General features: G+C 50.2%; 1 protein-coding gene across 5 annotated transcripts in view, besides 5 other annotated features; it reads left to right on the top strand.

Annotated features, from left to right (window-relative positions):
• Window positions 1-26,600, top strand: part of CHFR (checkpoint with forkhead and ring finger domains) — a 55,263-nt gene that overhangs the window by 5,005 nt on the left and 23,658 nt on the right. For 2 of the 5 annotated variants that reach the window (NM_001161345.1, NM_001161344.1), the window contains 8 exon segments: window positions 4,960-5,059; window positions 10,220-10,329; window positions 11,831-11,890; window positions 12,780-12,995; window positions 20,980-21,147; window positions 23,387-23,546; window positions 25,055-25,209; window positions 25,984-26,146. In NM_001161345.1, coding sequence (NP_001154817.1) covers window positions 4,960-5,059; window positions 10,220-10,329; window positions 11,831-11,890; window positions 12,780-12,995; window positions 20,980-21,147; window positions 23,387-23,546; window positions 25,055-25,209; window positions 25,984-26,146 — 1,132 coding nt within the window. 5 annotated transcript variants of the gene reach the window in all.
• Window positions 7,338-8,033: an enhancer, noted in NCBI's record as "H3K27ac-H3K4me1 hESC enhancer chr12:133451167-133451862 (GRCh37/hg19 assembly coordinates)". NCBI's record gives its function as "activates a minimal SCP1, AML or CMV promoter by ChIP-STARR-seq in naive H9 embryonic stem cells {active_cell/tissue: H9 hESC(naive)}" and the evidence as "EXISTENCE:reporter gene assay evidence [ECO:0000049][PMID:30033119]".
• Window positions 8,034-8,729: an enhancer, noted in NCBI's record as "H3K27ac-H3K4me1 hESC enhancer chr12:133450471-133451166 (GRCh37/hg19 assembly coordinates)". NCBI's record gives its function as "activates a minimal SCP1, AML or CMV promoter by ChIP-STARR-seq in naive H9 embryonic stem cells {active_cell/tissue: H9 hESC(naive)}" and the evidence as "EXISTENCE:reporter gene assay evidence [ECO:0000049][PMID:30033119]".
• Window positions 8,730-9,425: an enhancer, noted in NCBI's record as "H3K4me1 hESC enhancer chr12:133449775-133450470 (GRCh37/hg19 assembly coordinates)". NCBI's record gives its function as "activates a minimal SCP1, AML or CMV promoter by ChIP-STARR-seq in naive H9 embryonic stem cells {active_cell/tissue: H9 hESC(naive)}" and the evidence as "EXISTENCE:reporter gene assay evidence [ECO:0000049][PMID:30033119]".
• Window positions 9,426-10,123: an enhancer, noted in NCBI's record as "H3K4me1 hESC enhancer chr12:133449077-133449774 (GRCh37/hg19 assembly coordinates)". NCBI's record gives its function as "activates a minimal SCP1, AML or CMV promoter by ChIP-STARR-seq in naive H9 embryonic stem cells {active_cell/tissue: H9 hESC(naive)}" and the evidence as "EXISTENCE:reporter gene assay evidence [ECO:0000049][PMID:30033119]".
• Window positions 24,860-26,059: an enhancer, noted in NCBI's record as "BRD4-independent group 4 enhancer chr12:133433141-133434340 (GRCh37/hg19 assembly coordinates)". NCBI's record gives its function as "activates an origin of replication core promoter dependent on BRD2, P300/CBP, MED14 and CDK7 cofactors, and independent of BRD4, by STARR-seq in HCT116 cells {active_cell/tissue: HCT116}" and the evidence as "EXISTENCE:reporter gene assay evidence [ECO:0000049][PMID:35650434]".

Below are 26,600 nucleotides of genomic sequence, written 5' to 3'. Positions count from 1 at the left end.
GGCAGTTAACGCTCAATGGAATGGGAAGAGCTTGACCACAGGTGATACTTGCCTTGGATACAGTACTTCCAATAGTACAGAATGTTTGCACAAATAAGATTTTTAATATCCGGTTTCATGGCAGTATCATTTACTTGTAGTAAAATTCACCTTTTTTGGGGTTCAGTTCCATGAGTTTTGGGAAATGTACTCACCAGTGCAGTCAAGATGTAGAACATGTTCGTCACCCTGAAAGGTCCCCCTGAGTCCCGGCTCCTGGCAGCCACTGATCTGGTTTCTTTGCCTTCTGCTGCTTCCAGCGTGTCGTGACACAGGGTCACAGGGTGTCTGCCATCATCTTCTGCGCCTGGCTTCTTTCCCTGGCACGCACCTTGTTGCATGGATGAGCAGTTTGCTCCTTTCTGTTACCGGGTAGTGTTCTGTGGTTTGGATGCACCATGGCTTGTTAGTTTACAACCAGTGGATGGACATTTATACTGCTTCCTGTTTTTGTAAGAAATAAAGCTAATATAAACATAAGTGTGCAGTCTTTGTAGGGACATACATTTTTCTCTTAGCTAAGTAACTATGAATGGAATTGCTGGGCCACGTGGCCAGTGTCTGTTTAACTTGCTGAGAAACTGCCGCATTGTTTCCCATGTGCTTGTCCATTTTGCAGTCCCACAGCACAGTACGAGAGTTCCAGGTTTTCCACTTCCCTTTTGGCCACTTGTAGGTGGTCAGTCTTTTTTTTTTTTTTTTTTTTTGAGACAGCGTCTTGCCCTGTCGCCAGGCTGGATTTGCAGTGGCGCAATCTCAGCTCACTGCAACCTCCGCCTCCCGGGTTCAAGCCATTCTCTTGCCTCAGCCTCCTGAGTAGCTGGGACTACAGGCACGTGCCACCATGCCCGGCTAATTTTTTTGTATCTTTAGTAGAGACGGGGTTTCACCATGTTGGCCAGGATGGTCTCAATCTCTTGACCATGTGATCCGCCCGCCTCGGCCTCCCAAAGTGCTGGGATTACAGGCGTGAGCCACCGTGCCCGGCCCGTGGTCAGTATTTTCAGCCAATTCTTATTTGGTGTGTAGTGGTATTTCATGGTTTTAATTTGCATTTCTCTGAAGATTAATGATGTTGAGCATTTTGTCATGTGCTTAATTTGCCATCCATATCTCTTCTTTGATAAAGTGTTTAAATTGTTTTAAGTTGCATTATTTACTTTCTATTTATTGAGTTATCAGAGTTCTCTATACATTCTGGATACAAGATCTTTGTCAGATATGTGTTTTACAAATATTTCCACCAGTCCATAGCTTGTCTTTTCATCTTTTTAAACAATATCTTTGAAGAACAGATTTTTACTTTTTTTTTTTTTTGAGATGGAGTCTCGCTCTGTTGCCAGGCTGGAGTGCAGTGGCACGATCTCAGCTCACTGCAACCTCCACCTCCCATGTTCTCCCACCTCAGCCTCTCAAGTAGCTGGGATTACAGGTGCATGCTACCATGCCCGGCTAATTTTTTGTATTTTTAGTCGAGATGGGGTCTCATCCTGTTGGCCAGGCTGGTCTCGAAGTCCTGGTCTGAAGTGATCCGCCCGCCTTGGCCACCCAAAGTGATGGGATTATAGGCGTGAACCACCGCCCCCAGCCTTACTTTTTTTGTTGTTGTTGAGCCAGAGTCTCGCTCTGTCGCCCAGGCTGGAGTGCAGTGGCGTGATCTCGGCTCACTGTAACCTCCGCTTCCTGGGTTCCCACCATTCTCCTGCCTTAGCCTCCCGTGTAGCTGGGATTATAGGCGCCCGCCACCATGCCTGGCTAAGTTTTGTATTTTTAGTAGAGACTGGGTTTCACCATGTTGGTCAGGCTGGTCTTGAACTCCTGACCTTGTGATCCGCCCGCCTCGGCCTCCCAACGTGCTGAGATTACAGGTGTGAGCCACCACGCCTGGCCCAGAATTGACTTTTTTTTTCTTTTTTTGAGTCGGAGTCTTGCTCTGTTGCCCAGGCTGGAGTGCAGTGGCACCATCTTGGCTCACTGCAAGCTCCACCTCCTGGGTTCACGCCATTCTTCTGCCTCAGCCTCCTGAGTAGCTGGGACTACAGGCGCCCGCCATCACGCCCAGCTAATTTTTTGTAGTTTTGGTAGAGACGTGGTTTCACCATGTTAGCCAGGATGGTCTCGATCTCCTGACCTTGTGATCCGCCCCCCCCTTGGCCTCCCAAAGTGCTGGGATTACAGGTGTGAGCCACGGCACCTGGCCCACATTTTACTTTTGACAAACCTCAGCTTATTATTATTATTTTTTCCTGGTTTGTGCTTTTTATATCCTATCTGCGAAGTCCATGCAAGACCCAACGGCACTAAGATTTTTGCCTGTCTTTTCCACTGGAAGTTTCATAGTTTTAGATTTTACATTTGTCTCTGTCTGGCCATCCTTACACAGCCACAATACTGTATTGTTTACTATAGCATGATGGTAAGTCAGTTAAGTAATATGAGTCTTCCAGCTTCATTCTTTTTCAAAATTGCTTTGGTTTTTCTACACGTTTTTTCTGTGAACTTTAGAATCAGCTTGTCAGTGTCTACAAGCCCTCTGGGATTTTGACTGGAATTGCATTGAATGTATGAAACAATCTGGAGGACAGCTGACATTTTAACAATACTGAGTCTTCTGATTCACACACCCATAGGTCAGTGATGGGAGCAAGGCTCAGGCTAAAGCAGATTCAGGGTGTCTTTCTGTGTGGAACGTTTAGGAAAAGTATGTTTGCATGCCACTGTCTCCTGACCAAACCCTTCGCTTTTTTGTCTTCTAGTATCTTTATGTATCCTTATAGATTATTATAGGCAGTAATGATTAATGATGAGATATTAAAACGCCTTTGTTCTTTTGATTTAAGGAGAGGGCAAGTATTGAGGATTTTCCCTCTTGCTTTTGTATTCAGGGCCGGGCGCTGGTGGCTCACGCCTGTAATCCCAGCACTTTGAGAAGCCGAGGCGGGCATATCACGAGGTCAAGAGATCGAGACCATCCTGGCCAACATTGTGAAACCTCATCTCTACTAAAAATACAAAAATTAACTGGCCCTGGTGGTGTGCGCCTGTAATCCCAGCTACTCAGGAGGCTGAGGCAGGAGAATCGCTTGAACCCGGGAGGCAGAGGTTGCAGTGAGCTGAGATCGTGCCACTGCACTCCAGCCTGGGCCACAGAAAGAGACTCCGTCTCAAAAAAAAAAAAAGAAAAAAAAAATCCCAAAGTGTCAGAATTACTGTATTCAGCTATAGATGCATCCCTGTATATAAGATGCAGTTTCTTATACGTGTACAAATGCCTATCGCAGGCCAGGTGCGGTGGCTCAAGCCTGTAATCCCAACACTTTGGGAGGCTGAGGCGGGTGGATCAAGAGGTCAGGAGTTCAAGACCAGCATGGTGAAACCCCGTCTCTACTAAAAATACAAAAAATTAGCTGGGTATGGTGGCGCATGCCTGTAGTCCCAGCTGCTCAGGAGGCTGAGGCAGGAGAATGGCTTGAACCTGGGAGGTGGAGGTTGTGGTGAGCCGAGATGGTGCCACTGCACTCCAGCCTGGGCGACAGTGCGAGACTCCATCTCAAAAAAAAAAAAACAAACAAAAACAAAAAAAAAAACAAATGCCTATCACAGTTGGCTCAGTCACTTTTTCTGTGACTGTCATTGCTTCAATTTTATGTTGATTTATGAAACCTAAGTTTACACAGAAAAGAAATTAAGGACTAAATTAAGATACTGAAGAATTACTTAAGCCCCTGAGTTTTTTTTTTTCTTTTTTTTTTTTTGAGACAGAGTCTTGCTCTGTCACCCAGGCTGGAGTGCAGTGGCGCCATATCGGCTCACTGCAAGCTCCTCCTCCCGGGTTCTCGCCATTCTCCTGCCTCATCCTCCTGAGTAGCTGGGATTACAAGGCGCCCGCCACCACGCCCGGCTAATTTTTTGTATTTTTAGTAGAGATGGGGTTTCACTGTGTTAGCCAGGATGGTCTCGATCTCCTGACCTTGTGATCTGCCCGCCTCGGTGTGAGCCACCGGACCTAGCCAACCCCCTGAGTTTTTTTAAAGTTCTAATAATACTCATCAGGTTAGCTGTGTATGCAAGCATATTGTAAAATTGCTTTTTTTTTTTTTTATTTCCAGTTGGAGTCTAGCTCTGTCGCCAAGGCTGGAGTGCAGTGGCGCGATCTCAGCTCACTGCAACCTCTGCCTCCTGGGTTCATGCGATTCTCCTGCCTCAGCCTCCCAAGTAGCTGGGATTATAGGCAACCGCCACCATGCCCAGCTAATTTTTGTATTTTTAGTAGATATGGGGTTTCACTGTGTTGGCCAGGCTGGTCTCGAACTCCTGACCTCGTGATCCATTCACCTCAGCTTCTCAAAGTGCTGGGTTTACAAGTATGAGCCACTGCGCCTGGCTGTAAAATTGCCATTTAAGAGGCTGTGTGTAACTGGAGGTATTGATGGGTGTCTTTGAGAGGGTGGGGATTCAGAAAGGTTCAGGATGGGCCGGGCGCGGTGGCTCACGCCTGTAATCTCAGCACTTTGGGAGGCCAAGGTGGGCAGATCATGAGGTCAAAAGATCGAGACCATCCTGGCTAACATGGTGAAACCCCGTCTCTACTAAAAACACAAAAAATTAGCCAGGCGTGATGGCGGGCGCCTGCAGTCCCAGCTACTCTGGAGGCTGAGGCAGGAGAATGGTGTGAACCTGGGAGGCGGAGCTTGCAGTGAGCCGAGATGGTGCCACTGCACTCCAGCCTGGGCGACAGAGCGAGACTCCGTCTCAAGAAAAAAAAAAAAATTTCTTTATGTCTTTCTTGGTCAAGTGTTTTTTTTTACATATGTACAATGGGGATCCTGAGTTGGAACCACATACTTTGGTAAACAAAGTGCAGTAGTGTTCACAGTTACCACGATCATATCCCGTGTTGACCCACCCTCTCTTTTTTAGGTTGCGACCTTTCCTTCCCCAGCAATAAACTGGTCTCTGGAGATCACTGTAGAATTGTAGTGGATGAAAAATCAGGTCAGGTGACACTGGAAGATACCAGGTGAGTATGTTCTGAGCTTCTTTTGGTGTTTCTTCTTGTAGCTTAAGAAGCCTGACTTCGTGCTCTGTGCTGTGTGCCACGGCTGAGGAGGAGAAGAAATGCTGTCTTTAGTGTGATAACAGCGGCTCATTTTTATAACAGCACAGTCATGTGTCCCTTAGCAACAGGGATCCAGTCTGAGAAATGTGTCAGACAATTTGATCATCTTGCAAACATCATGGAGTATACTTAAACAAACCTAGATGGTGTAGCCTACTACATACCTAGGCTATATGGTATAGCCGATTGCTCCTAGGCTATCAACCTATACAGCGTGCTACTGTACTGAATGCTATAGGCAGTTGTAACACAATGGTAAGAGTATTTATCTAAACACAGAACAGGTGCAGTAAAAATATGATATTTTAATCTTGTGGGACTCCTATCGTATATGCGTCTGTTGAAAAAAACATTATTATCAGCCCGGGCGCGGTGGCTCACACCTGTAATCCCAGCACTTTGGGAGGCTGAGGCAGTTGGATCACCTGAGGTCAGGAGCTCAAGCCCAGCCTGGCCAACATGGAGAAACCCTGTCTCTCTTAAAAATATAAAAATTAGCCGGGCGTTGTGGCATGCGCCTGTAATCCCAGCTACTCGGGAGGCTGAGACAGGAGAATCACTTGAACCCGGGAGTCGGAGATTGTGGTGAGCTGAGATGGCACCACTGCACTCCAGCCTGGGAAACGAGTGAAACTCCATCTCAAAACAAAACGAAACAAAAGTTTATTATCTGGGGCATGACTGTAGTTAATTAGGCTCCCAAGGTATTAGAAGATGTATTTCCTGGTTTCCAGGATGGGACACTTAGTGACACTTTGGTGTCTATGACCCTTCTTGAATGTATTCAAATTAAGTATGTCTCAGAAATAAGACTTAAAAGATGCTGGTAATTTTTGGTTCTTGCAAGCCTATTCAAGTTTGATTTCTTTCCCTCAAATCAAAAAATCATTTTTTAAAACTAATAAATTCTCGTTCTTGTACAACTGAAGTACAGATTGAGTATCTGAAATGATTGAAACTAGACTGTTTAGATTTTGGATTGTTTCAGATTTTAGAATATTTTCATTATACTTACCAGTTGAGCATGTCTGAATCAAAATTCTGAAATGTTCCAGTGAGTATTTTTTTGAGTGTCTTGTTGGTGCTCAAAAAGTTTTGGATTTCACATTTCTGATTAGGGACATTCAGCTTAGGGATATTCAACTTGGAAAGTGGAAAGCTTTCCAAAATCCTATTCATACGTTAAAAATGCATATGTTGGTATATATATTTTGCATAAATGCAATCACACTACACATACTGTTGTAGCGTCAGCTTTTTTCTTTCTTTCTTTTTTTTTTTTGAGATGGAGTTTCACTGTGTTGCAGGCTGAAGTGCAGTGGTACGATCTCGGCTCACTGCGACCTCCGACTCCCAGGTTCCAGCCATTCTCCTGCCCCAGCCTCCCGAGTAGCTGGCATTGTAGGCACACACTACCAAGCCCGGCTATTTTTTTGTGTTTTTAGTAGAGACGGGATTTCACCATGCTGGCCAGGCTGGTCTCGAACTCCTGATCTCAGGTGATCTGCCTGCCTCAGCCTCCCAAAGTGCTGGGATTACAGGCGTGAGCCATCGCGCCCGGCCAGCTTTTTTCACTTACGGTGTTTTATGGAGCGCTTCACATGTCACTGCATCTACATCCAGCTCATCTTTTCATTATCTTAGGATAGTTTCTTTGTCACTTCCCTTATTGGTGGACATTTATTGTTTTGACTTTTTCTTACTATAAATAACACTGCAGTGACTCTTTCCCAAACTCTGCCTTCATGTCTGTTTTCTTGGGATGATTTCTCGGAAGGGAAGTCTGTGTCAGTGTTACTCAGAATGTGCCTATTCCTTTTTTTCTCTTTTTTGAGACGGAGTCTCGCTCTGTGGCTCAGGCTGAAGTGCTGTTGGTGCGATCTCGGCTCACTGCAACCTCCGCCACCCGGGTTCAAGCGATTCTCCTGCCTCAGCCTCCCGAGTAGCTGGGATTACAGGTGCCCGCCGCCACGCCTAGCTCAGATGGGGTTTCACAATGCTAGCCAGGCTGGACTTGAACTCCTGGCCTCAGGTGATCCACCTGCCTCAGCCTCCCCAAGTGCTGGGATTGCAAGTGTGAGCCCCCACACCCGGCCAGAATGTGCGTCTTTTAAATCTGCTGCAAGTGGCAGGTGGTCTTCTAGCAGTATGTTGAGAGTGTGCTGTTCTCACTGCAGGATTTTTTTTGTTTGGTAAAGATCAGGCTCTGTGAGATTCTTTGGTAACTGATAGTTTCAGGGATAGAAGACTAGGAAGTAGGTTTTAATAGGAAGAACTGATGCTCCGTTTCCTAGTCTAATAGATATCAGATTAAGTTCTCTATTTCTTGGCACAATGGGAAAGGCAGGGTGCTGGTCCCTAGCTGTCCCGCCTGCTTCAGGGCCTGGCTTCCCCATGCTGGGTGCTGGTCCTGGGCTTTCCTGCCTACATCAGGGCCTGGCTTCTCCACGCTGGGTGCTGGTCCTGGGCTTTCCCGCCTACATCAGGGCCTGGCTTCCCCGTGCTGGGTGCTGGTCCTGGGCTTTCCCGCCTACATCAGGGCCTGGCTTCCCCGCGCTGGGTGCTGGTCCTGGGCAGTCCCGCCTGTTCCAGGGCCTGGGTTCCCTGCACTGGGTGCTGGTCCTGGGCAGTCCCGCCTGTTCCAGGGCCTGGCTTCCCCACGCTGGGTGCTGGTCCTGGGTAGTCCCGCCTGTTCCAGGGCCTGGCTTCCCCGCGCTGGGTGCTGGTCCCGGGCCTTCCTGCCTGTTCCGGGGCCTGGCTTCCTCGCGCTGGGTGCTGGTCCCGGGCAGTCCCGCCTGTTCCGGGGCCTGGCTTCCCCGCGCTGGGTGCTGGTCCTGGGCAGTCCCGCCTGTTCTGGGGCCTGGCTTTCCCACGCTGGGTGCTGGTCCTGGGCAGTCCCGCCTGTTCCGGGGCCTGGCTTCCCCGCGCTGGGTGCTGGTCCTGGGCCTTCCCACCTGTTCCAGGGCCTGGTTTCCCTGTGCTGGGTGCTGGTCCTGGGCCTTCCCGCCTACATCAGGACCTGGCTTCCCCGCGCTGGGTGCTGGTCCTGGGCCTTTCTACCTGTTCCAGGGCCTGGCTTCCTTGCGCTGAATGCTGGTCCTGGGCCTCCCTGCCTGTTCCAGGGCCTGGCTTCCCCACGCTGGGTGCTGGTCCTGGGCCGTCCCGCCTGCTTCAGGGCATGGCATCCCTGTGCTGACTGCATGGTGGTGGTACTTTCTTATGGCTATTGTAATTTACCACAAGCTTAATGGATTTAAAAAACACAAATTTGCTGTCTTACTATAGTTATGGAGGTCCAGAGTCCGATATGGGTCTGATGGGGCTAAAATCCAGGTCTGAACAGGGCTGGTTTCTTCTGGAGGCTCCAGGGGAGAATTTGTTCTCTGCCTTTTCCAGGTTCCAGAGGTGCCACGTTCCTTGGCAGAGGTGGGCTGGAGGGGAGGGGTGCTCAGGCAGAAGGAACCACGTGTGTAGGGGCCCCTGAGCATAAGCAGGGCTGTGTGGTCGGAGCGTGTGGTGAGCGGCAAAGTCACACAAGGGAGCTTGGGCTTTAGCCTGAGAGCAGTGAGGAGTCATCAAAGGGGTGTAAGCGGAGGAGTGAAATAATCAGATTTTTGTTTGGAAAGAACAGGAGGATGAGTGATGGCTGCAGTCGCCCCTCGGCATCTGGGGGGATTGGCTCCAGCCCCCTGCATGCACCCAAGTCCGTGCACACTCTAGCCCCGTAGCCAGCCCTGTGGAGCAGGAGGACACAGAAAGTCAGTCCAGCTCCAGCGCCCCTGCATGCACCCAAGTCCGTGTGCACTCCAGCCCCGTAGCCAGCCCTGTGGAGCAGGAGGACACAGAAAGTCAGTCCAGCTCCAGCGCCCCTGCATGCACCCAAGTCCGTGTGCACTCCAGCCCCGTAGCCAGCCCTGTGGAGCAGGAGGACACAGAAAGTCAGTCCAGCATATGTGTGGGATTCATTCCCTCTCATTGAAAAAAACCCGTGTATAAGTGCATCTGCACAGCTCAAAACCGCATCTTCCAGGGTCAGCTTTGTGTTGTAACAGCAGAACTCAGACACACACAGCCACTGCCTGGTTTCGGAGGTTTTACGGGGAGACGGCTGTGGCAGTTCATTTGCTTACTGTCTGCATTTGCTTTCCTGCTACAGACGGCAGAGCTGAGTAGTGGCAATGGTGACCACAAAACCTACACTGTTTACCCTCTGTTTATGGAAATCGTTTGCCACTCCCATCCCTCAGCAAACCGTGGTGGTCACTCGGATGTGAGTTCTGTCCACTGCTGGGGCCTCGGGAGTGAAGCTGCAGAGCTGAGGCCTGTGTGGTTTCAGTCGTTTTGCCCGGTTGCCGTTTTGTGTGTCGGGTATGCTGTGCTCTTGGATCTTGGTCACCTGACCAACACCTGATTTGCTGTCAGGTCTCTGCTCAGAAGTCCCCAGGAGGCACTTCCTGCCCCATCAACTTAGCCTCCTCCTGTCTGTCCCTGGGTCAGCAGCATCTGCATTGGCCTCTCCCTGGGCAGAGTACCTCAAGGGGCTTGGCAGCCAGACCACAAGCTCTGAGTGCAGGGCCATGTCCTGCAGCTGACGGCCCAGCATTTAGTCCGCTTCTGCCCAGAGCCAGTCTCTTGGGAGGGATCAGTACTCATTGGAGGCATGAGTTCACCGGGGTTGTGATGGCTGCAAGGAACAGAACTGTGGATAGCACAAGTCCAGCTCAGGGGAGGCTGGAGGTGGAAGCACCACACTGTAGACGAGGCCTCCGGGTCCACTAGGAGGCAAACGGGGAGAGAACCCAGCCCTGCAGCAGCAGAGCTGCCAAGCACGTGAGGAGGTGTAGTGGCTGGTTAGGCTGTCAGTCAGGGAGAAGTGGGCGAGCCATTTCTTGAGAGAATGGTGAGGGGTGCGTGGATGTGTGCATCGTTACGTATTTACACTGTTCCTATGAGTATTTCCAGAGTGGTCATATCGAGCTGCTTGCTAATGGTGCTAGAAAAAAAATCTTGTAACTCCAAGTTATTTTAAGTAGAATAAATTGTGTTTTTGTTTTTTTACAGCACCAGTGGAACAGTGATTAACAAGCTGAAGGTTGTTAAGAAGCAGACATGCCCTTTACAGACTGGGGATGTCATCTACTTGGTGTACAGGAAGAATGAACCGGAACACAGTAAGAGAGAGGAAGGCTTGCCGGGGTCAGACCCGCACGGGGGTGCACGTGAGGGCGCTCTCTGAACGTTCCTCCTGGCTACATCCCTTCCCATAGGAACGTTCCTCCTGGCTACACCCCATTTCTTGCTCACATGGGTTCCTGCCGTGAATAGTGTCTGTTGAGTGGGAGTGTCGACTTTGCAGCCTGAGCCCAGCCATTCCTCAGGAATACCACTGTGGCCATGAGCAGCCAATCCCAAAATGGCAGCCAAGGAGAAACTGATGGGGATGGTTTGGGTTCTACAGGAGAAGAACTTGAGTTATGGGGAATAAAACCTAGGACCAGGGGTCTGGAGGCCATTGATGGTTCTGCTTTTGGAGACCTTACAAGAAACATCAAAGGTTAGACTGGATTCCAGTAAGTTTTTTCAGCTCCAGAAGTCCCGTTTTTGTTTTGTGGAAGAACAGTATAGGACAAGGAAAGTTATGGGAGTCCTTCGAAGGTCACCCCTGAAATACTTTTTTTTTTTTGAGATAGAGTTTCGCTCTTGTTGCCCAGGCTGAAGTGTAATGGCGCAATCTCAGCTCACCGCAATCTCCACCTGCCGGGTTCAAGCAATTCTCCTGCCTCAGCCTCCTGAGTAGCTGGGATTATAGGTGCCCACCACCACGCCCGGCTCATTTTTGTATTTTTAGTAGAGACGGGGTTTTGCCATGCTGGACAGGCTGGTCTCAAACTCCCGACCTCAGGTGATCCACCCACCTCAACCTCCCAAAGTGCTGGGATTACAGGCATGAGCCACTGCACCTGGCCAATACTTATTTATTTAATTTTTTAAATAAATAAGAGACAGAGTCTCGCTCTGCTCTGTTGCGGAGGCTGGAGTGCAATGGCGTGATCTCAGCTCACTGCAACCTCCACCTCCTGGTTTCAAGCGATTCTCCTGCCTCAGCCTTCCAGGTAGCTGGGATTACAGGTGCACACCACCACACCCGGCTAATTTTTGTATTTTTAGTACAGACAGGGTTTCGCCGTGTTGGCCAGGCTGGTCTCGAACTTGGGACCTCAGGTAATCCGCCCGCCTCGGCCTCCCAGAGTGCTGGGATTACAGGCAAGAGCCACTGCACCTGGCCACCCCTGAAATACCTAAAGACCACAGTGGTGAGGGAGAATGGGGCAAATATGTCTTAGGCATCTTCAGCATAAACTTAACCAGCCCCTGGCCACACGGAAGGATCTTGTATCTGCTCCTTTGTGTAGTTTGAAATTATAAGTGAGGCATAGATTCTTCACCTTCTTCTGCCTCCTGATGCCATTTTTTCCCGAGGCTTATTTCTTTTGTGTTGGTAGAGATGTTTTAGATTACTTGTTTTGAAATCTCTTAAACTGATGAATTTGTTATTAGCTGATGAGTCAAAATAATCAACAAAAACAAATGGACTGGAGAACAGAAGAGAAAAATGAGTTCTCAGTTTGCACAGGGGCCACCACTTTTCTGATTTGATTGATTTTCTTTTAGACGTGGCATACCTCTATGAATCTTTAAGTGAAAAGCAAGGCATGACACAAGAATCCTTTGGTAAGTAAGAGTGTAGCAAAGAAGTGGGTGCATGTTAGGAGCTATAGCATTCCTTTTGTGTTTTGAGATGGAGTCTCGCTCTGTTACCCAGGCTGGAGTGCGGTGGCGCGATCTCAGCTCACTGCAGCCTCCGCCTCCTGGGTTCAAGCAATTCCCCTGCTTCAGTCTCCCATTTTTTTTTTTTTTTTTTTTGAGACGGAGTTTTGCTCTTGTTGCTCAGCCTGGAGTGCAGTGGCGCGATCTCGGCTCACTGCAGCCTCCTCCTGCCGGGTTCGAGAGATTCTCCTGCCTCAGCCTCCCGAGTAGCTGGGATTACAGGTTGCACCGTCACGCCTGGCTAATTTTGTTTGTTTGTTTGTTTGTTTGTTTTTTGAGATGGAGTCGCGCTTTGTCGCCCAGGCTGGAGTGCAGTGGCGCGATCTCGGCTCACTGCAACCTCCACCTCCCGGGTTCATGCCATTCTCCTGCCTCAGCCTCCCGAGTAGCTGGGACTACAGGCAGTCGCTACCATGCCCAGCTAATTTTTTGTATTTTTAGTAGAGATGGGGTTTCACCGTGTTAGCCAGGTTGGCCTCGATCTCCTGACCTCGTGATCTACCCGCCTCAGCCTCCCAAAGTGCTGGGATTACAGGTATGAGCCACCGCGCCCGGCACGCCTGGCTAATTTTTATATTTTTAGTAGAGACGGGGTTTCACCATGTTGGTCAGGCTGGTCTCGAACTCCTGACCTCAGGAGATACACCTGCCTCGACTTCCCAAAGTGCTGGGATTACAGGCCTGCACCACCGTGCCTGGCCTTGGGGCTGTTGCATTCTTAAGAGCATTTCAATCCCTAGAGTGTCTGCTTGAGCCCTGGTTGTGTGCTGCTTCTGCTCCTTTTGGGTTACAGAAGCTAACAAGGAAAATGTGTTCCATGGGACCAAAGATACCTCAGGTGCAGGTGCAGGGCGAGGGGCCGATCCCCGGGTCCCTCCGTCGTCGCCCGCCACTCAGGTGTGCTTTGAGGAACCACAGCCATCAACATCGACGTCAGACCTCTTCCCCACAGCCTCGGCCTCTTCCACGGAGCCTTCTCCTGCAGGGCGAGAGCGTTCCTCCAGTTGTGGTGAGGTCACATCTCATGAGGTCTTGGTGCTGGTTGCATGGTTTTTGTTCACTACTCTTTACCTGTGTTGTTACAGAGGCAGATAAGCGACTGAGGACTGGCATGAGGTTCTCAGTAGTGAGATTTCTGTAGGAGTCAATATTGAGTGTGTTGTTCCCTTCACTTCCCAAGAGAAGTGAAGATCAGGGACTCTAGTACCATTGTGTATTTTGCAGTTTCATTGAGACTATAATTCGCATACCATAAAAGTCATCCAGCCGAAGTGTACATTTCAGTGGATTTTAGTACATCACAAGGTGTGGGACCATCACCACTCATTGACACGAAAAGGAAACCGGTGCCCACCAGCAGTGACTCCACATGTCCCCTTCCCCTCGGCCCCACCAGCAGTCACTCCCCATGTCCCCTTCCCCTCGGCCCCACCAGCAGTCACTCCCCATGTCCCCTTCCCCTCGGCCCCACCAGCAGTCACTCCCCATGTCCCCTTCCCCTCGGCCCCACCAGCAGTCACTCCCCATGTCCCCTTCCCCTCGGCCCCACCAGCAGTCACTCCCCATGTCCCCTTCCCCTCGACCCCAGCAGCAGTCACTCCGCATGTCCCCTTCCCCTCAGCCCCAGCAGCAGTCACTCCGCATGTCCCCTTCCCCTCGGCCCCACCAGCAATCACTCCCCATGTCCCCTTCCCCTCGGCCCCACCAGCAGTCACTCCCCATGTCCCCTTCCCCTCGGCCCCACCAGCAGTCACTCCCCATGTCCCCTTCCCCTCGGCCCCACCAGCAGTCACTCCCCATGTCCCCTTCCCCTCGGCCCCATCAGCAGTCACTCCCCATGTCCCCTCCCCCCAGCCCCTGGCAGCTGCGTGTGCTTTCGGCCTCTGGATTTTTCTGTTCTAGACACTTCACAGACATGGAATCATGCGTGCTCTTTTTTGTTGTTGTTGAGACGGAGTCTCGCTCTGTCGCTCAGGCTGGAGTGCAGTGGTGCGATCTCGGCTCACTGCAAGCTCCGCCTCCCAGGTTCACGCCATTCTCCTGCCTCAGCCTCCCGAGTAGCTGGGACTACAGGTGCCTGCAACCACGCCCAGCTAATTTTTTTTTGTTTTTTGTTTGTTTGTTTTGAGATGGAGTCTCGCTCTGTCACCCAGGCTGGAGTGCGGTGGCGCGATCTCGGCTCACTGCAAGCTCCGCCTCCCACGCCATTCTCCTGGGTCCACGCCATTTTCCTGCCTCAGCCTCTGAGTAGCTGGGACTACAGGCACCCGTCACCACGCCTGGCTAATTTTTTGTATTTTTAGTAGAGACGGAGTTTCACCGTGTTAGCCAGGATGGTCTCGATCTCCTGACCTCGTGATCTGTCCGATCGGCCTCCCAAAGTGCTAGGATTACAGGCGTGAGCTGCCGCGCCCAGCCGTGACTGGGCTCTTTCACTTAGCGTGGTGTTTTCAGAGTTCATCCAGAAGAGGATGTTATTTAAAACTAGTTTTGCAGATGCTGTTCCTTACGGCATGACTCTTACCTCTTCCATGGTCATTGGGAAGAAATTCCATCTGGGTGCAGCGTGACGGGAATGTTTTCTGTTTTCTTTTAGGGTTTGTCACGTGGAGGATGTGTACATATGGATTCTCTAAATTGGATCGCGCTATACATATTATTTTTTTTTAATTTTCTTAGCTATTCTCTATTCTAGATTATGTTTTGAATTAGCTTTTCCAGTTTAATAGAAAAATCTTTTTGAGATTTTTGATTTGGGGAGAATTGACAGTTTTACAGAGCCCAGGAAAATGGTGTTTCTCCTTGTTTGTTAAGCTCTTCCTGTTCTTCAGTGAAGTCTCACGGCTTTCTTCGTGTCGTCTGGGCTCATTCTTAGTCCTGGAGTGCTTGGCTCTCGCGTTCTTACATTCCATAGCAGTCTGCAGATTCCTATGAACAGAAGAGCCTCTGAATCTCAGATTAGGCTGTGTTTCGATCTGACAGGAAAGCTGGTTCCCTGATAAAAAGTCCAGAAATGCCCGCTCAGCTCAGCTACTCCTGAGGTCACCAGGGCCTTCTGTGCACTCCACGCTGCTGTTTTTGCTCAGGTTTTTGCCTCGAGGTTTCACAGTGGCTGCCAGAGCTCTGAACATCACTGACACATTCATGGCAGGCACCAGGAAGCCTCCGGAGAAGGGACCTTTGCTTTCCATGGATCTGTTGGCTGATCCGCAGCAGCAAGAGCCATGTCTCCCAGAAGACTGCTCCCTCTGTCTCATGAGCCAGCCTGGCTGCTCTGCTACAGGACACTCCTTGTTTTTATGTCTCTCTGTGTATTCCAGTGGGATTTGGGGAAGGAGCGGCATCGGGTGCAGGGACTCAGTGTGCCTTCTTGAAACCAGAAACCTCTCACGCTCTCTGGGCCTGTTTCCACTTCTGTTGATGTGGTTTTTACTCCGTTGTATGCCGTTGCTCTGTCTTCACACGGGCAGCCACACCTCTCCTGTTCGTTGATGTTCTTGAGGCCTTGTTGCATCCGCTCCTTCCTTCTTCAGAGGCTCCTTTGGATGAGCCCAGCTCCTCAGCAGCAGAGTGCTCTTTATTTTCTGTTTTTTTGAGACAGAGTCTTGCTCTGTTGCCCAGGCTGGAGTGCAGTGGCGCAATCTCGGCTCACTGCAACCTCCGCCTCCCGGGTTCAAGTGATTCCCCTGCCTCAGCCTCCTGAGTAGCTGGGGTCACAGGCGCGCACCACCACCACGCCCAGAAAATTTTTGTATTTTTAGTAGAGACGTTGTTGGCCAGGCTGGTCACCAGGAGCAGAGTGTTCTAAAAGCATACCTCAGTCTGATGGATGACATCCCAGCCATCTGAAGAGTAACATCCAGATGTGTTGTAACATTCCAGTGTGTTGTAACATTCCTGTAACATTCCAATGTGTTGTAACATTCTGGTGTGTTGTAACATTCCTGTAACATTCTGGTGTGTTGTAACATTCCGGTGTGTTGTAACATTTGGTGTTACGCGGTGTGTTGTAACTTTCTGGTGTGTTGTAACTTTCTGGTGTGTTGTAACATTCTGGTGTGTTGTAACAATCGCGGTGTGTTGTAACATCCGGTGTGTTGTAACATTCCAGTGTGTTGTAACATTTGGTGTTACATGCTGTGTTGTAACATTCTGGTGTGTTGTAACATTCCCGGTGTGTTGTAACGTTCCAGGGTGTGTTGTAACATTCCGGTGTGGTGTTCCGGTCTGTTGTAACATTCCAACATTCCGGTGTGTTGGTGTGTTGTAACATTCCAGTGTGTTGTAACATTTGGTGTGTTGTAACATTCCGGTGTGTTAACATTCCGGTGTGTTGTCACATTCTGGTGTGTTGTAACATTCTGATGTGATTTCGGGACTCACCTGGGAGGACTTCTCAGGTGCTAATTGGGGACACTAAGTTGCAGGCAAGACTGTGGAGAGTGAGTGCTATGTAGTTTCCACCTGATATTTCTGGAGATAAGAGGAACAGCGGAGACCAAACCCATGACAGACAAGTTTCTACTAGCCTGTCTCCTGTAGACTAAACACAACCCCGGCTTCTCAGAGCCTCTTTGATTTACCTTTGTTTTAACATCATAACCTTAAATTTATGAGTGAAAGAAAATAACACTTCAAGATGAAAGCATCTCAGCACTGGGCACAGTGGCTCACGCCTGTAATCCCAGCACTTTGGGAGGCTAAGGTGGGCAGATCCCTTGAGCCCAGGAGTTCAAGACCAGTTTGGGCAACATGGTGAAACCGTATCTTTACAAAAAATACAATATAAAAAATACAAAAATTAGCCGGGTGTGGTGGTGCATGCCTGTAATCCCAGCTACTTGGAAGGCTGAGGAGGGAGGATTGCCTGAGCCTGGGAGGCAGAGGTTACAATGTGCTGAGATTGCACCACTGCACTCCAGCCTTGGCAACAAAGCCAGAGCCCATCTCAAAAAAAAAAAAAAAAAAAAAAAAGACCTGTAATCCCAGCACTTTGGGAAGCCAAGACAGGCGAATCACTTGAGGTCAGGAGCTTGAGACCTACCTGGCCAACATGGTGAAACCCCGTCTCTACTGAAAATACAAAAATTATCCAGGCATGGTGGCAGGCGCCTGTAGTCCCAGCTACTCAGGAAGCTGAGACAGGAGTTTCACCTGAGAGAGGAGGATCACCTGAGGCTGGGAGGCGGAGGTTGCAGTGAGCCGATACCGCGTCACTGCACTCCAGCCTGGGCGACAGACCAGGTCTCAAAAAAAAAAAGAAAAGAAAACATGCCAGATTTGAATAGCCACCTGAATGCTGAAGTTTTACCAGCTCTCTTGGGCTGTGTACCCTTCATCGTATCTTCCAGGTTCCTTAAAACCTACCCTTGGGCACAGCTGGGATGTGCACTGGCTCTTCACAGCTAGATCCAGCATGCACTGACTCTCCCCGTGCAGGGACAGCCCCAGAGGAATAGAGGTGGCGTTCCGGCCGCTCCAGCGTGGCCCACAGCGTTTCAAGTGCAGCAAGCACAGACAGGACGCGGGGTTACTAGTATTTTGGATTGACTGCAGATTTTGAACTGTCTGCCTAGATGAACTATACCATGTCCCTAGGGCCAAGTCCCATGTGCATTTTGTGGCTACTAGACCCTCTTCAGAAATCAAACACAAAATAGCTCTGGCCTGTAAAGAAAACAAACTTCACCAGTAAAATTGTTTCCTGTTCCTATCCACCAATGTGCATAGCACAGTGTGTAGTCTGGGTAATACGGTTTGCATAATTTTTTGATAATGTTCTACTTAAAAAGGGCAGCGTATTTATATATTACTTATGTAATTAAAAAAAAAATTCTTCTGGCCGGGTGTGGTGGCTTACGCCTGTAATCCCAGCACTTTGGGAGGCCGGGTGGTTGGATCGCCTGAGGTCGGGAGTTCAAGACCAGCCTGGCCAACATGGCAAAACCCCATCTCTACTAAAAATATAAAAATTAGCCAAGTGTGGTTGCGGGCGCCTGTAATCCCAGCTACTCGGGAGGCTGAGGCATGAGAATCTCTTGAACCCAGGAGGTGGAGGTTGCAGTGAGCCAATATCCTGCCACTGCACTCCAGCCTGGGTGACAGCACAAGACTCTGTCTCAAAAAGAAAATAAAAATAATAAAAAATAAAAATTCTTCTATCTGTATGCCTAAGTGTATGCATACTAACAAAATAAGTATAGTTACTGCTTATTGAGCAGCTACTAAATGTGAGGCAGTGTGCCAGGTACATTCTGTAAGTGGTAAGATGGTGCTCCTCTCCACGTTGGCTGAGCACGGGGCGCTGGAGATGATGGCGTGAGTGGGTGCCGGCTGGGGGCCGGCCCACAGGCTGTCTCTTTCCTTCTGTTCGTATATGAGGTGGTTTGTCCCCAAAACTATTCTGTTTTCTTTCAGCTGCTGTAAGCCAGTTTCTTGTGTTTTTTTTTTTCAAATAATAACACTTACATTTGAATACTGTAAGCTAGATATGTATTATGCTGTAATATGATAAACTAAGTCTTTATTAAGATATAGGTTATTCACACCTGTAATCCTTATTCACACCTGTAATCCTTATTCACACCTGTAATTCCAGCACTTGGGGAGGCCGAGGTGGGTGGATTGTTTGGGCTCAAGAGTTTGAGACCAGCCTGGGTAAAATGGCAAGACCCTGTCTCTACCAAAAATACAAAAAACAATTTAGCTGGGCATGGTGGTGCACACCTGTAGTCCCAGATACTCAGGAGGCAGAGGTGGAAGGATCGCTTTAGCCCAGGAGGCAGAGGTTGCAGTGAATGAAGATCTCGCCACTGCATTCCAGCCTGGGTGAAGAGTGAGACCCTGTCTCAAAAAAAAGATAGAGGTGATTAGAAAGTCTGCCTGTTTTTCTGCCAAGGTCATTCCTGTCGTTATGACTCTGGCTTCTTGCTCGTGGAGATAGCGCTCTCCCTACAAGTCACTGTGCTGTATCCTTCCCGTTATCACACCTCTTGTAAAATAGTTCACACGCAGCACCATCTCCACCCGTTGGAAGCTATGCATCCCTCCACTGGAGCATCTGTGCTTTACACAGACTTCTGTTTTTTTTTGTTTGTTTGTTTTGTTTTACTTTGTTTTTTTGAGACGGAATTTTGATCTTACTGCCCAGGCTGGAGTGCAATGGCGCGAACTTCGTTCGCTGCAACTCCGCCTCCTGGGTTCAAGCAGTTCTCCTGCCTCAGCCTCCCAAGTAGCTGGGTTACAGGCATGTGCCACCACACCCGGCCAATTTTGTATTTTTAGTAGAAATGGGGTTTCACTGTGTTGGTCAGGCTGGTCTCGAACTCCTGACCTCAGATGATCCACCCACCTTGGCCTCCTGAAGTTCTGGGATTACAGGCATGAGCCACCGCGCCTGGCATTTTTTTTTTTTTTTTAAGAAATGAGGTCAGGCCGGGCGCGGTGGCTCACGCCTGTAATCCCAGCACTTTGGGAGGCCGAGGTGGGTGGATCACGAGGTCAGGAGATCGAGACCATCCTGGCTAACACGGTGAAACCCTGTCTCTACTAAAAATACAAAAAATTAGCCGGGCGTGGTGGCGGGCACCTGTAGTCCCAGCTACTCAGGAGGCTGAGGCAGGAGAATGGCGTGAACCAGGGAGGCAGAGCTTGCAGTGAGCCAAGATCACGCCACTGCACTCCAGCCTGGGTGACAGAGTGAGACTCTGTCTCAAAAAAGAAAAAGAAAACAAAAGAAATGAGGTCTTGGCCAGGCACAGTGGCTCATGCCTTTAATCCCAGCACTTTGGGAGGCTGAGGCAGGTGGATCATGAGGTCAGGAGATCGAGACCATCCTGGCTAACACGGTGAAACCCTGTCTCTACTAAAAATACAAAAAAATTAGCTGGGTATGGTGGCGGGTGCCTGTAGTCCCAGCTACTTGGGAGGCTGAGGCAGGAGAATGGCGTCAACCCAGGAGGCGGAGCTTGCAGTGAGCCACTGCACTCCAGCCTGGGCAACAGAGCAAGAGTCCGTCTCAAAAAAAAAAATGAGGTCTTGCTCTGTTGTGCAGGTTGGGAGAGTGATGTGGTCATGGCTCACTGTAGCCTCGAACTCCCGGGCTCAAGTGATCCACTCACCTCAGCCTCCTGAGTAGCTGGGACCATATGCTCGTACTGTCACGCCTAGTTAATTTTTTTTTCTTTTTTGTATTTTTTGTAGAGATGGTGCCTTGCTGTGTTGCCCAGGCTGGTCTAAAACTCCTGGGATCAAGTGATCCTCCCACCTTGGCCTCCCAAAGTATTGTGATTACAGGTGTGAGCCCCATGCCCAGCCTCAGACCTCTATTTTTTATTTTTATTTTTTTTTCCCCAGAGGGAGTTTCGCTCTTGTTGCCCAGGCTGGAGTGCAGTGGCACGATCTTGGCTCACTGCAACCTCCGCCTCCCGGGTTCAAGCAATTTTTCTGCCTCAGCCTCTTGAGTAGCTGGGACTACATGCACTCGCCACCACGCCTGTCTAATTTTTTTGTATTTTTAGTAGAGATGGGGTTTCACCATGTTGGCCAGGCTGGTCTCGACCTCCTGACCTCAGGTGATCCACTTGCTTCGGCCTCCCAACGTGCTGGGATTACGGGTGTGAGCCACCGCACCCGGCCCAAAGCTCTGTTGTAACAAGTTTATGACACAGTGTGTATCATATGACCACGGGTATGTGGGTTTGCCCTGCGTTAGACTCGGTGCTCGAGGGCTAAGCCTGGTCACAGACATCTCCGCATTTGTTTCTCTGCAAATGGGCTCCTTGCCCCCAGCTCCACCCCACGTAGAGATAGGCACAAATAGAGTTAAGATGTGAGTTGAGTGAGCACACACTCCTCGTAAGCCACTTGTCATTCCTAAACTACGACATCTCAGGCTGCCAGCTGCACTGGGCTCCAGTCAGTGACACCTTACAGGCATGGTTCTCTCCTGAGCTGGATGGATCAGCACCTATCTTGTTTGATTCCTCTCACAGGGTCTGGGGGTGGTGGCATCTCCCCTAAAGGAAGTGGTCCCTCTGTGGCAAGTGATGAAGTCTCCAGCTTTGCCTCAGCTCTCCCAGACAGAAAGACTGCGTCCTTTTCGTCGTTGGAACCCCAGGATCAGGAGGATTTGGAGCCCGTGAAGAAGAAAATGAGAGGAGGTTAGTGTCTGGTTGTGTGTGTCCTCAGTCCTCTCGTGTGCTCCTGGGGCATGCGGGGGCCGCTGCCATGCTCCGTGCTGTGGGGCATTGCTTCCTGCAGGGGCATGTGGACCCTGCCTCAGGTTGATGCCTGTAACACCTCCGGCATTTTCATTCAGAAAACCTGGGCCTGTTTTTTTGCGGTTTGCATAATCCAGATAGAACTGTGATTTGCTACAGGCTGTTCTCTTGGTCTGGAAATAGTGCATTCTGAATTGCAGAATTAATCTCAAAATCCTCCTTCCTGGCCAGGTGCAGTAGTTCATATCCGTAATCCTAACACTGGGAGGCCAAGGCAGGAGAATCACTTGAGGTCAGGCGTTCGAGACCAGCCTGGGCGACAGAGCAAGACTTTATCTCTAAAAATAAAAATCAAGCCTGACACCGTGGCTCCCGCCTATAATCTCAGCACTTTGGGAGGCCAAGGTGGACGGATCATCTGAGGTCAGGAGTTCAAGACCAGCCTGGCCAACATGGTGAAACTCCGTCTCTACTAAAAATGCAAAAATTAGCTGGGTGTGGTGGTGCATGCCTGTAATCCCAGCTACTTGGAAGGCTGAGGCAGGAGAATTGCTTGAACCCGGCAGGTGGAGGTTGCAGTGAGCCAAGACTGTGCCATTGCACTGCAGCCGGGGCAACAAGAACAAAACTCCATCTCAAAAAAAAGAAAATCAAAAAGAAAGCCCTCTGTCCTGGTAGGACAATAATTTCTAAAAATGTAGCTTAAATCTTCACATTGAAGATGATTTAGGGAGAAGTCTGCACTTTGAAAGCCAAAGTTAAGATTATTAGAAAACATTTGGGAATGTTATGGTAGAAGCATTGCTGTATAGCAGTCCAGAGAGCAGCCAGCCACTGGGGCACTGTGACAGGAAGGTTCTAGGAGGGGTCCCCAGGGAAAGAAATTAGGTTATCTGACACGTGGGGTTGATCGGTGTGGGGAAGGTGTGGAAAGAGTCAGCAACAGTTACACAGGAAAAATAAGCACAGGAATGAGGAAATTTTAATTCTAGCAAACATGAAAAATTGTGTAAGTCACACAACTTAATCTAGTAAACTACTTGGCTCAGCAGTGAATACTTGCATAAGCATAATAATACAAATACAGTATCATGAACTAATGTAATCTGTTAATGTAATGTTGGCAGGGGTGTCTCAGGACAGAGTTTTTCTCTACCTTAATAGATGTCAGGAATGATGTCTAAAATTGATAAATCAAATGTACCATGATAACTTAGAAACACAGAGGTAAATACCAGAAGAAACAGCTCAAAGACATGAAAATAGTTTTCCTCCGAGGAGGGAAATTGGGTGAGGAGCGGCTGAGACGGAGGGTGACTGCCTTTGTTTTCTTCTAAATATATTATGTATACATTTTTTTAAGAGACAGGATCTTGCTTTGTCACCTAGGCCAGAGCGCCGTGGTGCAGTCTTGGCTCACTGCAGCCTCCACCTCCTGGGCTCAGACTGTCCTCCCACCTCAGCCTTCCGAGTAGCTGAGACCACAGGTGCACGCTACCATAGCTGGCTAATTTTTTTTCCCATTTTTTTAGAGATGGGGTTTCATTATATTGCCCAGACTGGTCTTGAACTCCTGGGCTCAAGCGATCTGCCCACCTCAGCCTCCCAAAGTGCTGGGATTACAGTTGTGAGCCATTGCACCTGGCTTCTTCTAAATACTTGGCTTTTTAAATTGTGTACAGTTTCTTTAATTAAAAATAAAAATTAATTGATTACCAACATCTGAGCATTATAGAAAAATAAAAACACCAGAAGAGGGTGGGGCGCGGTAGCTCACACCTGTTACCCTAGTACTTTGGGAGGCCGAGGCGGGTGGATCACGAGGTCAGGAGATTGAGACCATCCTGGCTAACACGGTGAAACCCTGTCTCTACTAAAAATACACAAAATTAGCCGGGCGTGGTGGTGGGCACCTGTAGTCCCAGCTACTCAGGAGGCTGAGGAAGGAGAATGGCATGAACCCGGGAGGCGGAGCTTGCAGTGAGCCGAGATCGCGCCACTGCACTCCAGCCTGGGCGACAGAGCGAGACTCTGTCTCGAAAAAAAAAAGACTGCATGTATTTCCTTCTCGGTTACGACAGTTAGAACACATCCCTTTCTCCTGTGGACGGGGACCTTGACCTGAACCTGCGTGTATTTCCTTCTTGGTTACGACAGAACACATCCCTTTCTCCTGTAGATGGGGACCTTGACCTGAACGGGCAGTTGTTGGTCGCACAACCGCGTAGAAATGCCCAAACCGTCCACGAGGACGTCAGAGCAGCGGCTGGGAAGCCAGACAAGATGGAGGAGACGCTGACATGCATCATCTGCCAGGACCTGCTGCACGACTGCGTGAGGTGCGACCGTGTTCACCCTTGGCTCACGGAACATGGCACTGCAGGTTCTTCGTCCCGTGTGGGGCAGGGCTGGGCATGAGACAAGCCTGCAGGTCCTGTTTGGCCTGGCATCTGCTGAGGTTACTCTGTCACCCAGATAAGTGGGTGGAGTGGGTGGAGTGGGTGGAGCTTTCTCAGCCCACTGCAACCTCTCCCTCCCAGGATTGAGCGGTTCTCTGACCTCAGCCTTCTGAGTTGCTGGGACTACAGGTGCACACCACTATGCCTGGCTGACTTTTTTTTTTTTTTTAATGTTCTAAATATTTTTTATTCCTTTTTTTTTTTTTTTTTTTTTTTTTTTTTAGATGGAGTCTCGCTCTGTCACCAGGCTGGAGTGCAGTGGCACAGTCTTGGCTCACTACAACCTCAGCCTCCCGGGTTCAGACGATTCTCCTACCTCAGCTTCCTGAGCAGCTGGGACTGCAGGCGTGTGCCACCATGCCCGGCTAATTTTTTTGTATTTTTTAGTAGAGACAGGGTTTCACCATGTTGGCCAGGCTAGTCTTGAACTCCTGACTTCAGGTGATCTGCCCACGTTTGCCTCCTAAAGTGCTGGGATTATAGGCGTGAGCCACTACTCCCAGCCACCCTGCTGATTTTTGTGTTTTTTGTAGAGACGGTTTCGCCATGTAGCCCGGGGTGGTTTTTTGTTTTTGTTTTTGTTTTTTGGAGTTAGAGTCTCGCTCTGTCACCCAGGCTGGAGTGTAGTGGTGTGATCTTGGCTCACTGCAACCTCCACCTCCCAGGTTCAAGTGATTCTCCTGCCTCAGCCTCCCAAGTAGCTGGGACTACAGGCATGCGTCACCACATCTGGCTAATTTTTTTGTATTTTTAGTAGAGACGGGAGTTTCACCATATTAGCCAGGCTGGTCTCGAACTCCTGCACTCAGGTAATCTGCCCACCTTGGCCTCCCAAAGTGTTGGGATTACAGACGTGAGCCACCCCGCATGGCTACCACTTTCATTCTACTCGTGGCACCAACAAGGAGGAAACCTGGAACCCAGAGCCGGAGGCTGTAGACCCCACAAGTTTTGAGTGTGTGGGTCGTGTGTGACCCCGTGAACTCTGCAAACAGATGAAAGGAACTCTGCACATTTTAAATGCTCCTTATCTGGGAAGGTGTATTTCGCATAGAATGAACGTAGGAGCCGCTGAGGAAGGGCCTCCTTGCTTTTCCGCGGGAACTCAAGAGTGACAACCTTCCAACTTCTGGGCCAGAAACACTTGCTGTCTCTGTTGTTTGTGTTCCTGAAGTCATAATCTACTCGCCTCTGTCTTTCCTGAAAACACAGAGGCCGTGTGGCCTCTGATTTCTTTTCATTAACCAAGACTGACTTAAAGGGTTTTTAGGTTGAACGATGGCTGGGCCCCTGTAGGCCCTTCCGTGGTGGGGCTGCTGCGGACCTTGGTCGAGGGTCGCGGTTGCATCTGTGGGACTGTCTGGACACTGTTCCTCTTGCACTTTCAGTTTGCAGCCCTGCATGCACACGTTCTGCGCGGCTTGCTACTCGGGCTGGATGGAGCGCTCGTCCCTGTGTCCTACCTGCCGCTGTCCCGTGGAGCGGATCTGTAAAAACCACATCCTCAACAACCTCGTGGAAGCATACCTCATCCAGCATCCAGGCAAGTGAGGGCATCCACACCAGCACCCGGGCACGTGAGGGCGGTCCCTCCACCACCACCCAGGCACGTGAGGGCATCCACCCAGCAGCACCCGGGCACGTGAGGGCTGTCCCTCCACCAGCACCCGGGCACGTGAGGGTGGTCCCTCCACCAGCACCCGGGCACGTGAGGGCATCCACACCAGCACCCAGGCACGTGAGGGCGGTCCCTCCACCACCACCTGGGCACGTGAGGGCATCCACCCAGCAGCACCCGGGCACGTGAGGGCTGTCCCTCCACCAGCACCCGGGCACGTGAGGGCTGTCCCTCCACCAGCACCCGGGCACGTGAGGGTGGTCCCTCCACCAGCACCCGGGCACGTGAGGGTGGTCCCTCCACCAGCACCCAGGCACGTGAGGGCATCCACACCAGCACCCGGGCACGTGAGGGTGGTCCCTCCACCAGCACCTGGGCAAGCGAGGGTGGTCCCTCCACCAGCACCCAGACAAGTGAGGGCGGTCCCTCCACCAGCACCCAGGCAAGTGAGGGCATCCACACACCAGCACCCAGGCATGTGAGGGCGGTCCCTCCACCAGCACCCGGGCACGTGAGGGCATCCACACCAGCACCTGGGCACGTGAGGGCAGTCCCTCCACCAGCACCCGGGCACGTGAGGGCGGTCCGCCCAGACCCCTCCTTCCGCAGCACTGCGCACGCGAGCTCCCAGCAGTGTGAGCTGTGTCTGCCTGCCATGTCTCACTGCCGGTGAATGGCGCTGTGTCCTTTCAATTCTAGACAAGAGTCGCAGTGAAGAAGATGTGCAAAGTATGGATGCCAGAAATAAAATCACTCAAGACATGCTGCAGCCCAAAGTCAGGCGGTCTTTTTCTGATGAAGAAGGGAGTTCAGAGGACCTGCTGGAGCTGTCAGACGTTGACAGTGAGTCCTCAGACATTAGGTAAATCATGCCCCTGGCTCAGAGCAGAGTGTGTGAGCCAGAGGAGCATCACAACCGTGACCGAGAGCTCACTACTGGGTGGACAGCATGGGTCCTGAGATCTAGTTCTGCCCTGAGCAGCCAAGCTCTTAAATGGCTTGAGCTTGTTTTCTGATATTGGATAGTATTAGCACCTCCCCTGAGAGGCGTGGCAGGGACTGGGTGAACACTTAGCGGGGTAGCCAGGGGGTAGCCAGCAGAGCGTCAGCCGCAGGCGACTGCTGTAGACATTTGCACCCTCGGCTGACACCCTTCCCTTTGCTTCGACTCGTCATGGGTGTGGCATCTCTGGCTGTGACAGAGGGACATCATTCCATGTTATTTTTTCCCACATGAGCACATGTATTCTTTGTAGTTGATCTAGCGACTATAAAGTCCTATAGTATAAATTGCAATGTTTATCATTTGTCAGGAC

The sequence above is a fragment of the Homo sapiens genome, chromosome 12 (assembly GCF_000001405.40).
Source record: "Homo sapiens chromosome 12, GRCh38.p14 Primary Assembly".
Classification (NCBI taxonomy): domain Eukaryota; kingdom Metazoa; phylum Chordata; class Mammalia; order Primates; family Hominidae; genus Homo; species Homo sapiens.
The sequence above is the reverse complement of the archived record's forward strand: the minus strand, read 5'-3'. Positions and strand labels throughout refer to the sequence as shown.